We start from the raw sequence: 12,158 nt of genomic DNA on the forward strand, positions 1-12,158 counted from the left end.
CACACACACACACACACACATATGTGTCTATATATAATATTTTCTGTATCTATTCATGTGTTAATGGACATTTAGGTTGATTCTGTATCTTTGCTATTGTGAATAGTGCTGCAATAAAGATTAGAGTCCAGATATACCTTTAATATATGGATTTCTCTTCCTTTGAATAAATATCCAATTACTGATTCATATGGTAGTGCTCAAATTAAAAAAAACTGCAACCTCAGAACATCATAGCCAGCAAAACTGTTATTCAAATATGATGGATAAAGTCCTTCACAGACAAACAGAAGCTGAGAGAATTCAGCACCACCAGACTCATCTTGCAAGAAATGCTAAAGGGAGTACGTTTCAAGGTATGAACCCACTGGTAAAATTAAGTACATGAGCAAACCCAAAATACCCTATTACTATATTTATGGTGTATAATCCACCCATAACTCTGGTATTAAGCACAAAAGACAAAATATATTAAAAATATCATAGTTACAGCAACCTGTTAAGAGGTAATTTTAAGAATGTAAATTGAGAAAACTGAAAATCAAAATGTAGTGGAAATGAGGTTAGATTGTAGATTTTTTGCCTTTGCTTATTTCTATTCTTTGGTGTTCTAAGATAAGTTGCCATCTCTTTAAAATAACTTGTTATGTCTTTAAAATGTTTTTTGTAAGCCCCATCGCAACCACAATGCAAAAATCTGAAATAGATTCACTAAAAATAACAGTAACAATTTAAAACATACTATCAGAGATAATAACTACAAAGGAAGACAATAAGAAAGGGAAGAAGAGGAAAGTCTCAAAACCATCAGAAAACCAGCAATAAAATGATAGTAGTTACTTATTACTTATCAATATAACACATATTGGTATAAGTAATAAGTATATACCTTATATAACTCCTTAATTATCAATAATAACACTGAATGTAAATGTGTCAATTCTCCATTGAAAAAGCAAAGAATAGCTGAATGGATAAAGAAACAAGACCTAACTACATGTTGCCTCAAGAAACCCACATATGTAGACTAAATGTGAAGGATCAGAAAAAGATATTCCCTGCAAATGGAAACCATAAAAGAGAGGAGTAACTAGATTCATATCATATATATAAACAGATTACAAATCTATGATTATAAAGAGACAAATTTACTATATATTGATAAAGGGGTCAATTTAGCAAGAGAATATCATAATTATATAAATATTTATGCACTCAACACCAAAGATCCCAAATATATAAAGCCAACATTAATAGACCTAAACGGGGAGATAGACTGCAATATAATAGTAGTATAGGGCTTTAACAGCCCACTCTTAGTTACAGGCAGATCATCCAGACAGATAACAAAGAAACAGCAGAGTTAAACTACACATTAGATCTAATAGGCCTAATTGACATTTACAGAACACTTCATGCAACTGCTGCAGAATACGCTTTCTTTTCATCACCACATGGAACATTTTCCAGAAGAGACCACATGTTAAGCCACAAAACAAGCCTGTACAAATTTTTTTAAAAATATATATCAAGTATTATCTCTGACCACAATGGAATAAAATTAGCCATCAAAAAACCAGAGGGACCTTGGAAAATACAGACAAGATTAGATGCGTTTGGGGTGATATGGCTATAGATGGAATCTTGGAAAATACACAACCTTGGAAATTAAACAGCATGCTCCTGAACAGCCAATGGGTCAATGAAATAATTACGAATGAAATTTAAATTTTTTTAAACAAATGAAAATGGAAATACAACACACCAAAATCTATGGGATACAACAAAATCTATGGGATACAACAAAAGATACAACAAAAAGTTGTATCTATGGGATACAACTAAAAAGGAAGTTTATAGCAATAGACACCTATATTAAAAAAGTAGAAAGATTTCAAAATTAACAACCTAATGGTGCACCTCAAGGAATTAGAGAAGCAAGAACAAACCAATTAGTAGAAGGAAAATAATAATAAAGATCAGAGCAGAAATAAATGAAACTGAGACTTTAAAAACAATACAAGGTCAGTGGTGGTGCCTCACACCTGTAATCCCAGCACTTTGGCAGGCCAAGGTGGGTGGATCACTTGAGGTCAGGAATTCGACACCAGCCTGGCCAATCTGGTGAAACCCAGTCTTTACTAAAAATATAAAAATTAGCTGGGTATGGTGGTGCATGCCTTTAATCCCAGCTACTAGGGAGGCTGAGACAGGAAAATTGCTTGAATCCAGGAGAAAGAGGTTGCAGTGAGCCGAGGCTGTGTCTGCACTCCAGCCCGGGTGACAGAGTGAGACTCTGTCTCAAAAAACAAAACAAAACAGAGACCCAAAAAAACCAAAAGGTGAAACAAAAAGTTTGTTTATTAAAAATATAAACAAAATTCACAAATTTTTGGTTAGACTTAGAAAAAATAGAAGACCCAAATAAGTAACATCAGGAGTAAAAAAGGAGACAACAACCGAGAACACTGAAATACAGTGAGTCATTAGAGATTATTATGAACAACAGTATTTCACTTGTTCTTTTTGCACTTTTTTTGCTATCAGCCATCACCAAAAGAACATGCCCACCTAGCCCACCACTCATCACAGGTGGAGGATGAGAGCCATGTATAGCAGAGACATGAGAAGCCAAGCCTTCTGGGTAACTCCTACCTAGACCAGTTGAACCCCAGCTTACCTGGAGACACATGCATGATAATTAGTTGTTTTAAATCATGGAGTTTTGAGATGGTGTTATGCAACACTATTGTAGCAATAGCTAACCAATAAACTCAGTAACAACATGTTACACAGCTTCATCTATTTATGGGTATCTTTAAGTTCCAGAATTTACTTTGTTGTTACTTTGCAAACAAATATGAAGTGGCAGGTATTCTTCCAATAATGAACATTTATTTCATTAATATCCCATTTATGTCCTGCTGTTGGTTTCTATGTCTGTCTGCACACAAACTCTTTTTTCAATGCCAAATCATAGTATAATCTTTTTGGAGACATTTTAAATAGCAATTCAACACAACTTATATGGAGCCAACAATGCACACAACTCATGTTAATTAAGGTTGGTTGTGAATAGCTGTGATCAAGTTCATGCACATACAGGCCCTGACAGTCATGTCACAACTGTCACTTGGCTGAGAGTAATTGTAAAACACTATCAATTATGGGAAACATCTCAATTTTAAGATGCTAAATTTATAATGAATGTGATTCTTAGAAGCATTGGAAAATGATATATCTCTGGTCAGTACATTCACAGTCTGAGTTGCTGTTGCCACAGCTAGTTTTCTCTTTCTGAAAGAGGTTTACTCTTTTCAAAATGCCTGATTTCAAGAAAGCCCTTAGAGATAACTTTCTATGTCATTCCTGTTCCCCCATCTGTTGAGTATCTTTAGCTCTTGCTACATATTCTTTTTTTTTTCAGGGTTGGGATGGTCTCTAACTTTGGATGATTTTGCCCTTTAGCTATAATTGAAAGATTTGGAATCATTTTTTTGTGCACATTGTCACTCATAGAGCAGGCAAGAGGAGCTCTTTCTCTGCGCCCCAAACGCTAGCAAATCCTGCTCTGGTCTTCTAGCCAAGGCCCTCCCTATAAGGCAAAGAGTTCACTATACTAAGGGAACACGCCTAACTAAAGCCCCATCCCCTTCCCCAACTGTACCATGCTTCAAGTCCCACATTGCTGATGTCTGTATCCGTTGGCCTGAGAAGTTGGCAGGGAGTGTCTATTTATAGGAATATAGATAGAGCTTCATCATGGGTAGGGTATGTTGACAAAATGCTTGCGCATTACACCTCATGAAGAACAGAGACTGGTGGGAGAAAGGAGGTAGGTCAGAGGCTAGAATACAGCCTGCTTTCCTTTCTCACCAAGTTCCAGCATGGAACTCTGTGTTAATTCTAAATTTGAGTGTGGCCTTCCAATTCATTGTGAAGGTATAGTTTTCAAAGTAAAAGGCTAAAACATATTTTATTTAACAGTTTATTATTAGCTTAATGTATGTTTTAAATACTCATGCATACGGTATTTTGGCCTCTAGTTGCATCCTTCTCTCACTTTCCACAAATGTTAGATTCAGGCACACAGCTTGAGGATACTGAAGGAATATCTCTTCTACAGTGGGATCAAAATTTACTTACACTACACTCAATGTACAAAAAACATTTACCTTTATCTTTTTTCACTCCTAAGAACTGATATAATATTTTTTCCTAAGCCACACTCAATTGGATGGCAGAACATACAAGCTATATAGGCTTGCTGTCTAAAGTTGGGCAACTTAGTTCTTTTAGACAATGTTGAGAAATCTATATTTAATAGTTCTCATATTCCTTTCCAATAACAATAAAAGCAAAGAATAATGACTGATGTTTATTGAGAACTACGTGCCAGGTATTGGGACAGGATTTTCAGGTGTATAAACTCATTTAATCCTTAAACAAAAAAGTGAGGTGGTAGTAGTATTACCACATTTCAAGAAGTGAAATTGAGGTACAGAGAGGTGGGTCAACTGGTTTGAGTTTGCATTGCTTGAATGTGGAGAAGACAGAAATCAAATCCCAGGCATTCTGACTTTGGAGCCTATGTTCTGTCTTTATGATGATGCTGTTCTGCTTCTCTAAGATGATGTGTGTAGGTACTATTTGTTTCTCAGGACATTATGTTAAGAATCCTTTCTGAAACCCTCTCAGCCTGTGAGACCTTCTTCATCCCTGGCCCTCTCATACTGGATAGGGGATGAGAAGTATCCTGGACTCATGCAATCAGCCACTTCCTTTGAAAATGCTGCAAAAATATCCCTGCACCATGACGAATAAAAAGGATGTAGAACTATCCTAGAGGCCCATGTTCCTCTAGTTTGCTGTAGGGGCAGCTTATCTCTGGTCTCCCTGATGCTCCCAGCTCTTCCCATACCCCTCCTGGATGTTTATGTCAGTATATGTTCCTGGAAAGGAAACAAAGATACAGGTATTGGAGCTCTCTCCCATACCAATATTTTATTTTCTGTTTTCCACTCTTTTCCAGGGGTTCAATGGTGTGATGTCTTGGGATGTGTACTTTCTTCATTTTTTCCATCAATAAGGATTATTTCCTTTCTTTCTCCTTTTTGATAGGATATTTGTTATCTCTTTTCCTTTTCAAAATATATCTTATTATTTTTAATTGTGGTAGAATACACATAACATAAATTTAGCATTTTAACCATTTAAGGATACAATTCAGTAGTGTCAAGTATATTTACATTGTTGAGCAATCTCTAGAAATTTTCATCATATAAAACTAAAACATTAAAAAACAATTCTCCATTTTTACCTCCCCATCTCCTGAAACCACCATTCTACTTTTTGTTTCTATAAATTTGACCACTACAGATATATAAGTGGAATCATACAGTATTTGTCTTTTCATAATAGTCTTATTTCACTGAGAATGGTGCCCTTAAGTTTATTCCATATTGTAGCATGTATCAGAATGTCTTTTTAAAGGCTGAGTAATATTCCATTGTATGTATATATCACATTTGTTTGTCTATTCATCCACTGAGGGACACTTGGGTTGCTTCTACCTTTTGGATATTGTGAATAATGCTGCTATGAATATGGGTGTACCCTCTTCTATTTGAGTACTGTAATATCTAAATTATGATGAAGAAACATGATTTATGAGGGAAAGAATAAAATGCACAATATATATTAGTTTCATATTTTCAAAATAACATTCATGTTACATCCTGTGTCCCATCTTCTTAGTGCTTTGATCTCAGAGCTCTTCAGAGATTTGATCTCAGAGACACAGAAATAAGTTGCCAAACAAATCCACTCAGTTTTCAAGGATATTAGTGTATAGTGAGAAAGGGGGGTATTTGTTCATCCTCCCCAAAAAGGAATATAATTTTAACATTAAAAACATAAGTCAATAGAGCTAATTACATTTGATGCCGAAGGCTTTGTTTTATCCAGCCTCTGACAGCAGGAGATAATTGGGAATTCAACCCTGAACAATCCTATCCCTTGAAAATATCATAAAGGAAAGTTATTGCCAAATCCAATCAAACCTAATTTTCTTGCCATTGATATGCCAACTGTAAAGTAAATGAAAATCATTGAAACACCTGAACATGGGCATTCTGAGAGCTCCATCATGCCTCTATTTCAATTTCCACCTTTCTCGCTTGGGTTGAAGCAATCATGACCATTGATATGTCGAATATGTGACTTAAAAAAAATCAACACCACTGTATTAACTCCATAGTTGCAAAGAAATAGCCAAACTCTTTTTTTTTTTTATCAGAATAACAATGACAAGAAGAGAAACTTCCTGTAGCATAAAACTATGTGTATTTTAATTTATAACCCATCTTTTCCCAAGAAAATTTTCAGACCCCTGACTTGGTTTTAAGGGGTTTTTGTTTTATAAATTTCTAATGTTTCAAATGGAAAGATACTAGGACCCATTGTTATTTGATACTGTAACTTATCCAAGTTGTTGAATTACATTTAAATATTTTCATCTCCTAAAATCAGTTTTATGTAGTAAGTTCTTAGAAAAGCATACTAAACTTTCAGTGTATTAAATATTAATTTTTTAAAAAAGTTTTAAAACATAAGTTTCAAAGCCTTACACATTAGGCTAAAGTTGCTTGTTTCATCATCCCCTTGCAATAATTTCTACTACTCTTAGTAAAAAATCTAACCTGAAATCCATGTGTGATATTTAATAATGAGTGTCAACTTGATTGGATTGAAGGATGCAACGTATTGTTCCTGGGTGTGGCTGTGAGGACGTTGCCAAAGGAGATTAACATTTGAGTCAGTGGACTGGGAAAGCAGACCCACCCTCAATGTGGGTGGGCATAATCTAATCAGCTGCCAGTGCAGCTAGAAAAAAAGCAGGCAGAGGAACATGGAAGGACTAGACTGGCTGAGTCTTCTTGCCTCCATGTTTCTCCCGTGCTGGATGCTTCCTGCCCTTGAACATTGGACTCCAAGTTCTTTAGCTTTTGGACTCCTGGACTTACACCAGTGGTTTTCCAGGGGCTCTCAGGCCTTCAGCCACAGACTGAAGGCTGCATTTGGCTTCCCTACTTTTGAGGTTTTGAGACTTGGACTATCTTCCTGGCTCCTTAGCTTGCAGATGGCCTATTGTGGGACTTCACCTTCTGATCGTGTGAGTCAATACTCCTTAATAAACTCCCTTTCATATATACATCTATCTTATTAGTCCTGTACCTCTAGAGAACCCTGACACAGGATGGCTTCCCTTGTTGCATAATCTGGACCAAACTTATCTTTCTAATTTCATCTCCTCTCCATCCCTATGGGGCCTCTTCTTCAGCTCTGCAGGATTCTTTGCCTTTCTTTGAGCATTCTAAACTCACTCCCATTCCATCAGGATATGTTGGGTTATGTGTAGTACTATGTAACTCCTCAAATCTCAAACACTTAAAACAGAAAAGATTTTCCTTCTCAGTTCCATCATTTTTATTAAGGGAGCCAAAGGTAAGAGGGGACTCACTATTTTGAACAGAAATTATTGTTCTAAAGGGAATTATTATTCTAAAGGGAAAAAAGACACTGTAAATTGTCAAGCCAACAAGTAAATACTTCAGCCCAGAAGTGACACACATAGCTTCTGTCCATAATCATTGGCCAGAAATAACCATATGACCCACCACAACACAATGGAGCCAGAAAATAGAAAGCACTCCCGTGAATCTCAAAGGAGGGAGAAGCAGAAATATTTAGCAAAAAGCATGAATCATTACTCTATCAATTTTTCACTTGCTACTGATAGTTTGGGGAATGCTCTTTCCTCTGAAAGTCAGATGACTCACTCTTTCGCTTCATTCTGGTCTTTGTCAAAATCCTTAGAAAGGTCATTCCTGCTGTTATTTTTGTTCTTCACTTGTCTCTACCTGAAATTATATCATATTTTTATTTTTTGCTTGTTTTACACACACACATACAAGTGCATTATTTTTAATATGTACAGTATTATATTTTCTGTCCTGTTCATTGATTCATTGATATATCCCCAGTGACTAAAAGTATTTGGAGCTCAGCAGACAATGAACAAATATTTTCTGAATGAGTGATTGCATATATTAGATTGATGCATACATGTTTAGAACATATATCTCTAATTCTATCTCTATCTATATGGTGAAATATCAGTTCATATATATGTTGCAAAGAGGCAAATTTAATTTTATACCACATTTTAACTATAAAGAGAAAATTTAGTTTCTAGAGGTTTAGAAAACCATTCAGTTCTTCCTCATGAGGCTCCCTCTGCTGGTTTTCTTGTAGCCAGGCCAAGACGAAGCTCAGTAAGTCAGTTTCAAAATGACTCCAATCTAGAAAATCAAGAGAGCTTTTAAATATTAATTTGCTTTCTTTAGGATAGCTGTTTTGGTTTTTATATTCCTTTTCCCTCCATTCTCTGTTCCAATACGGCATTTAGATTTATAGGGAGAGGTCTGGTGTGTGTAAGGAAGTAGATGGGAGCCCGTGTCCTTAAATCTTCCCAATGTTCACTTACTCCTCCCTGACCTCAACTGTAGAGTGGATAAACTGGTATGCTTTCTTCAATAATGTGCACTGAAGTAGATCTAATTTCTGTCTATTTGGTCTTAATGTGCTAATACCAGAGACCTGTCTCCTATCATTTGCTTCTTTGCTTCTCTTCTCACCCTGACAATTGCATGTGTCATTGAAAATGTTTGCATACAATATCCCTCCTAGTGACTTAACAGTTCCTCAGTCCTGCAGGAGCTAATGCTACTAACCTGTCAGACTCAGGCTCCTTATCTATTTACATGTTTCTAGCCCACACCCCTTCTCCTGAGGTACAGAGTAAGGACATCAAGCACCCTTAAATCTATCTTTCTCTCCAACTTTTTTTTTTTTTTTGAGATGGAGTCTCACCCTGTCGCCCAGGCCGGAGTGCAGTGGTGCGATCTCGGTTCACTGCAAGCTCTGCCTCCCAGGTTCACGCCATTCTCCCGCCTCAGCCTCCCGAGTAGCTGGGACTACAGGCGCCTGCCACCACACCTGGCTAATTTTTTTGTATTTTTAGTAGAGATGGGGTTTCACTGTGTTAGCCAAGATGGTCTCGATCTCCTGACCCGTGTTCCACCCACGTTGGCCTCCCCAAGTGCTGGGATTACAGGCCTGAGCCACCGTGCCCGACCCCAACTTTTTTTTTTTACCCTCCACAATGTCTCTGCTTGGAATAGATTGAGTCTTTCCTTCCTTAAGACATGCCTTCCTATGAGGCCATAAGTCTCATGACTTAGTTATCATGATGGAGAATGTATGCTATGGAAGAAATTCTACTGTATGTGTTCTCTAGTCATTGCTTTTTATTGGGAAGCTTTTGATTGGGAAGCCAAGCAAAAAGCTAGAGCTAGAGATTAACCGATTGGTTTGTTCAGATTTTCTATTTCTTCGTGTTTTGAAGCAATATTCAAAGCATTACTGGATTGCTAACAGTCTGGCTATGTATTAAAAAGCTGCACTGGTGATTCTGAGATGTTTGACCTTTACCTTATTCGTTAATTTATGAAAGATGATTCACCCCCTTTCCAAAATAGAGTCAGCTTCGGAAATGTTACTGGAAGGTTGGATATCACAGGGATCTTCCAACTAAAAAATGTTTTGAAAAGACATTTTATTTTTATTTTGGCTTTTCAGTGAAACAGGAAAAAAATAACAAGCCAAATTATCCTTGAAATCTGTGTCACCATGAAAAATGCATGTAGCAGAAAAGTAACTTAAGTCATCAACAGAATTTGTAAAACTATACAAATATATAAATGTATTATAGAAGATAATTTAAAATGCATTTTGCTCTAAGTTTCCAAATGCATTCTGCATGTCAAATTTAATAACTAGAATCAGTACAAGGAGCCTTACAGATACCTAGTCTCCAGTGGCCAACCTGAGGTTGAGAAGTACTGTGTGGACTGAATTTGTTCCTACACATGTCTTTTCTACAGAGGCATTGGCACAACAGTTTCATGACTCTACCTTCCTTTGTATTAAATATTTAGCCAACAGAGGAGGTGACAAGTGTCATTGATTAATCACAGATAAAACAAATAGGGGTGTTCTTATTTATTTTACTTCAGCAAATTGAGATGTGAAGAAGAATGAAGAAGCTGGAGGAGACTATGGTGACTTTAATTGAGAGTCACTGGCAGACACAAAGTGAAAACTTAGTATGTGAGCAGTTGGATAACGTTTGAAAGCAACCCCAAAGCAATTTCCAATCAGCTAACTTTGAAATTTGGAAGCAAAGTTCAGTGAAACTATAGAACTGCTCTTCTCAACTAGAAGCAATATGAAAAAGGACACTCAGAAAATAATTAACTAGTAGACAGTTACAGAGAAGGTTTTTACTGGTAGAAACAAAAGAATCAATTACTTAAATTATAATTGGTAAACATCACTATAGTTTCTAAAACTGTTGGTGTGAGTTATTTTTATCTGTTACCTCTTTATGCTCCCTATCTCCAAACACCCACTCATCAATGCATGAGTCAAGATATTTTAGATATTTTATTCCTTAAATGTCTATTTGGTATACCCCACAAACCACTATAAATCATTTGCTTTCCTTTTTTCAAAACAAAATTCTATCAGGAAAAAAGCTTATGTTCATGCTTCTGTTACTCAGAATTTACTACAGTATTCTAACACTAGTGAAACTTAAAACCTTAAAAGTTTTATGAGTATTCTCAATGAGGCAGCATGTGTGAAAGAGAAATTGCTTTCGTGGTTACTAAGAGAAACCTATGGAAACTTATGAAACCCATAATAAATAAATGTAGGGAGTCTTGAGTTTATTCTTTCAAAATAAACGTAAGCATAAATGATAAAACAGCATGGAAAGAAGTTTTAGATAGAACTTTAGACCTGAGATACGTTAACACTTTTTAACAGTAGAGGCATTTAAAGGTGACTAAGAGCCATGCAAGGTAAACAGACATGTAGAATCTTTCTCTTTCTCTATTTTTCTCCTATCAACTCAAAGTGGGAAGAATGGGAAAACAACTAAGGCTGAGAAATCATAAGCTGAACAATAAGACAGTAGTTGAAATAATTTATCTGGTACCCAACCCAGTCTATGACTCAGAATCCTTTGTGAGTTTTGAAGCAAAGTGAATACTAAACATAAATTACAAAGAATCCAACTGAATTTGTGTTAAATGAACTTTTTGGAAGAATTAAGAATTAGTTATTAAAGTATAGTAAAGTTTATTTTTAAGCCATTTATATAAACTTAAAAGGTGATGCTTTCTTTCAAACTTTTTTCTTTTTCTTTTTTTTTTTTTTTTTTTTGTCCGGGGTAAAATAAATAAGCAGAAAACAAGGCCAAAGATGCAAAAGAAAAGAAAGGAGAGTTAACTTTTATTGAATGGTCTGATAACCTTCTAAGCCATACAATGTTCATTTATTTAACTAGTGTCTTTCATCTCCAAGTCCACCCTTGTTTTCTCTGCTTTGTGATGCCGGAGAACAGGAAGCACATCAGGAAGAGTTTCAGGATGAGAGGGAAGAAAATACCTGATTCTTCCAGTTTTCTCACTCTTTCTGATAGTGTGGTTTCAGCAAGATACAAGTTGTTTCAGTTTTCACTTTTTTCTGCACTCCCAGAACCAGTTGTATTGTGCCCCCTCAAAAGTACCAGCAATAACTGGGCAATGTCTCCCTGTCAAGGATCCGAGTCCGGCTGTGTGAAGTGCCTTCTACATCCCTTCGATTTTAACAATGCAAACCTCTTCTCTCTGATTCCATGGCTCCAAATGTGGTAGCAGTTTCCAGCAGCTACTGTTTCAGTGTTATTTCTATGTTCCCTTTCCATTTATTCAGTTTCTAACACCTTTGAAAATAATTTTTTACATTAAATTCTCTCTGTTAAAATGACTGACAGGTTTGTTTACTTTCCTAATTAGCTTCTAAATGATATCACTCTTTACATAAATTGTGTCAATTTTATAAATGAGTAAATGGAAATAAAAACGGGTTCAGTAACTTGCCTAATGTTCCCTAGTTGGCAGAAGGCGTAACTAGAGTGTGATTCCAGATCTACACCCCACAGTCTTTGCTAATATTGCAAAAAGAATCAGTGAAATAGGAGAAAGACC

The 12,158-nt window shown here is 36.0% G+C and overlaps 1 protein-coding gene across 4 annotated transcripts in view; it reads right to left on the reverse strand.

The window, feature by feature from the left end:
- Positions 1-12,158, reverse strand: part of TMEM232 (transmembrane protein 232) — a 351,524-nt gene that overhangs the window by 18,856 nt on the left and 320,510 nt on the right. The window contains exon 18 of one of the 4 annotated variants that reach the window (XR_007058620.1): positions 7,465-7,922. The exons of 2 other annotated variants lie outside the window; for them this stretch is intronic. Coding sequence is in view for 1 of the 2 variants with exons in the window: in XM_011543565.4 (XP_011541867.1) it covers positions 8,334-8,363 (30 nt within the window). In the remaining variant the exon portion in view is untranslated. Of the gene's footprint in view, positions 1-7,464; positions 7,923-8,318; positions 8,364-12,158 lie in introns of those variants that run through there. One more of the 4 variants, XM_011543565.4, reaches the window with a different exon arrangement.

The sequence above is a fragment of the Homo sapiens genome, chromosome 5 (assembly GCF_000001405.40).
Source record: "Homo sapiens chromosome 5, GRCh38.p14 Primary Assembly".
NCBI classification, from domain to species: Eukaryota; Metazoa; Chordata; class Mammalia; order Primates; family Hominidae; genus Homo; species Homo sapiens.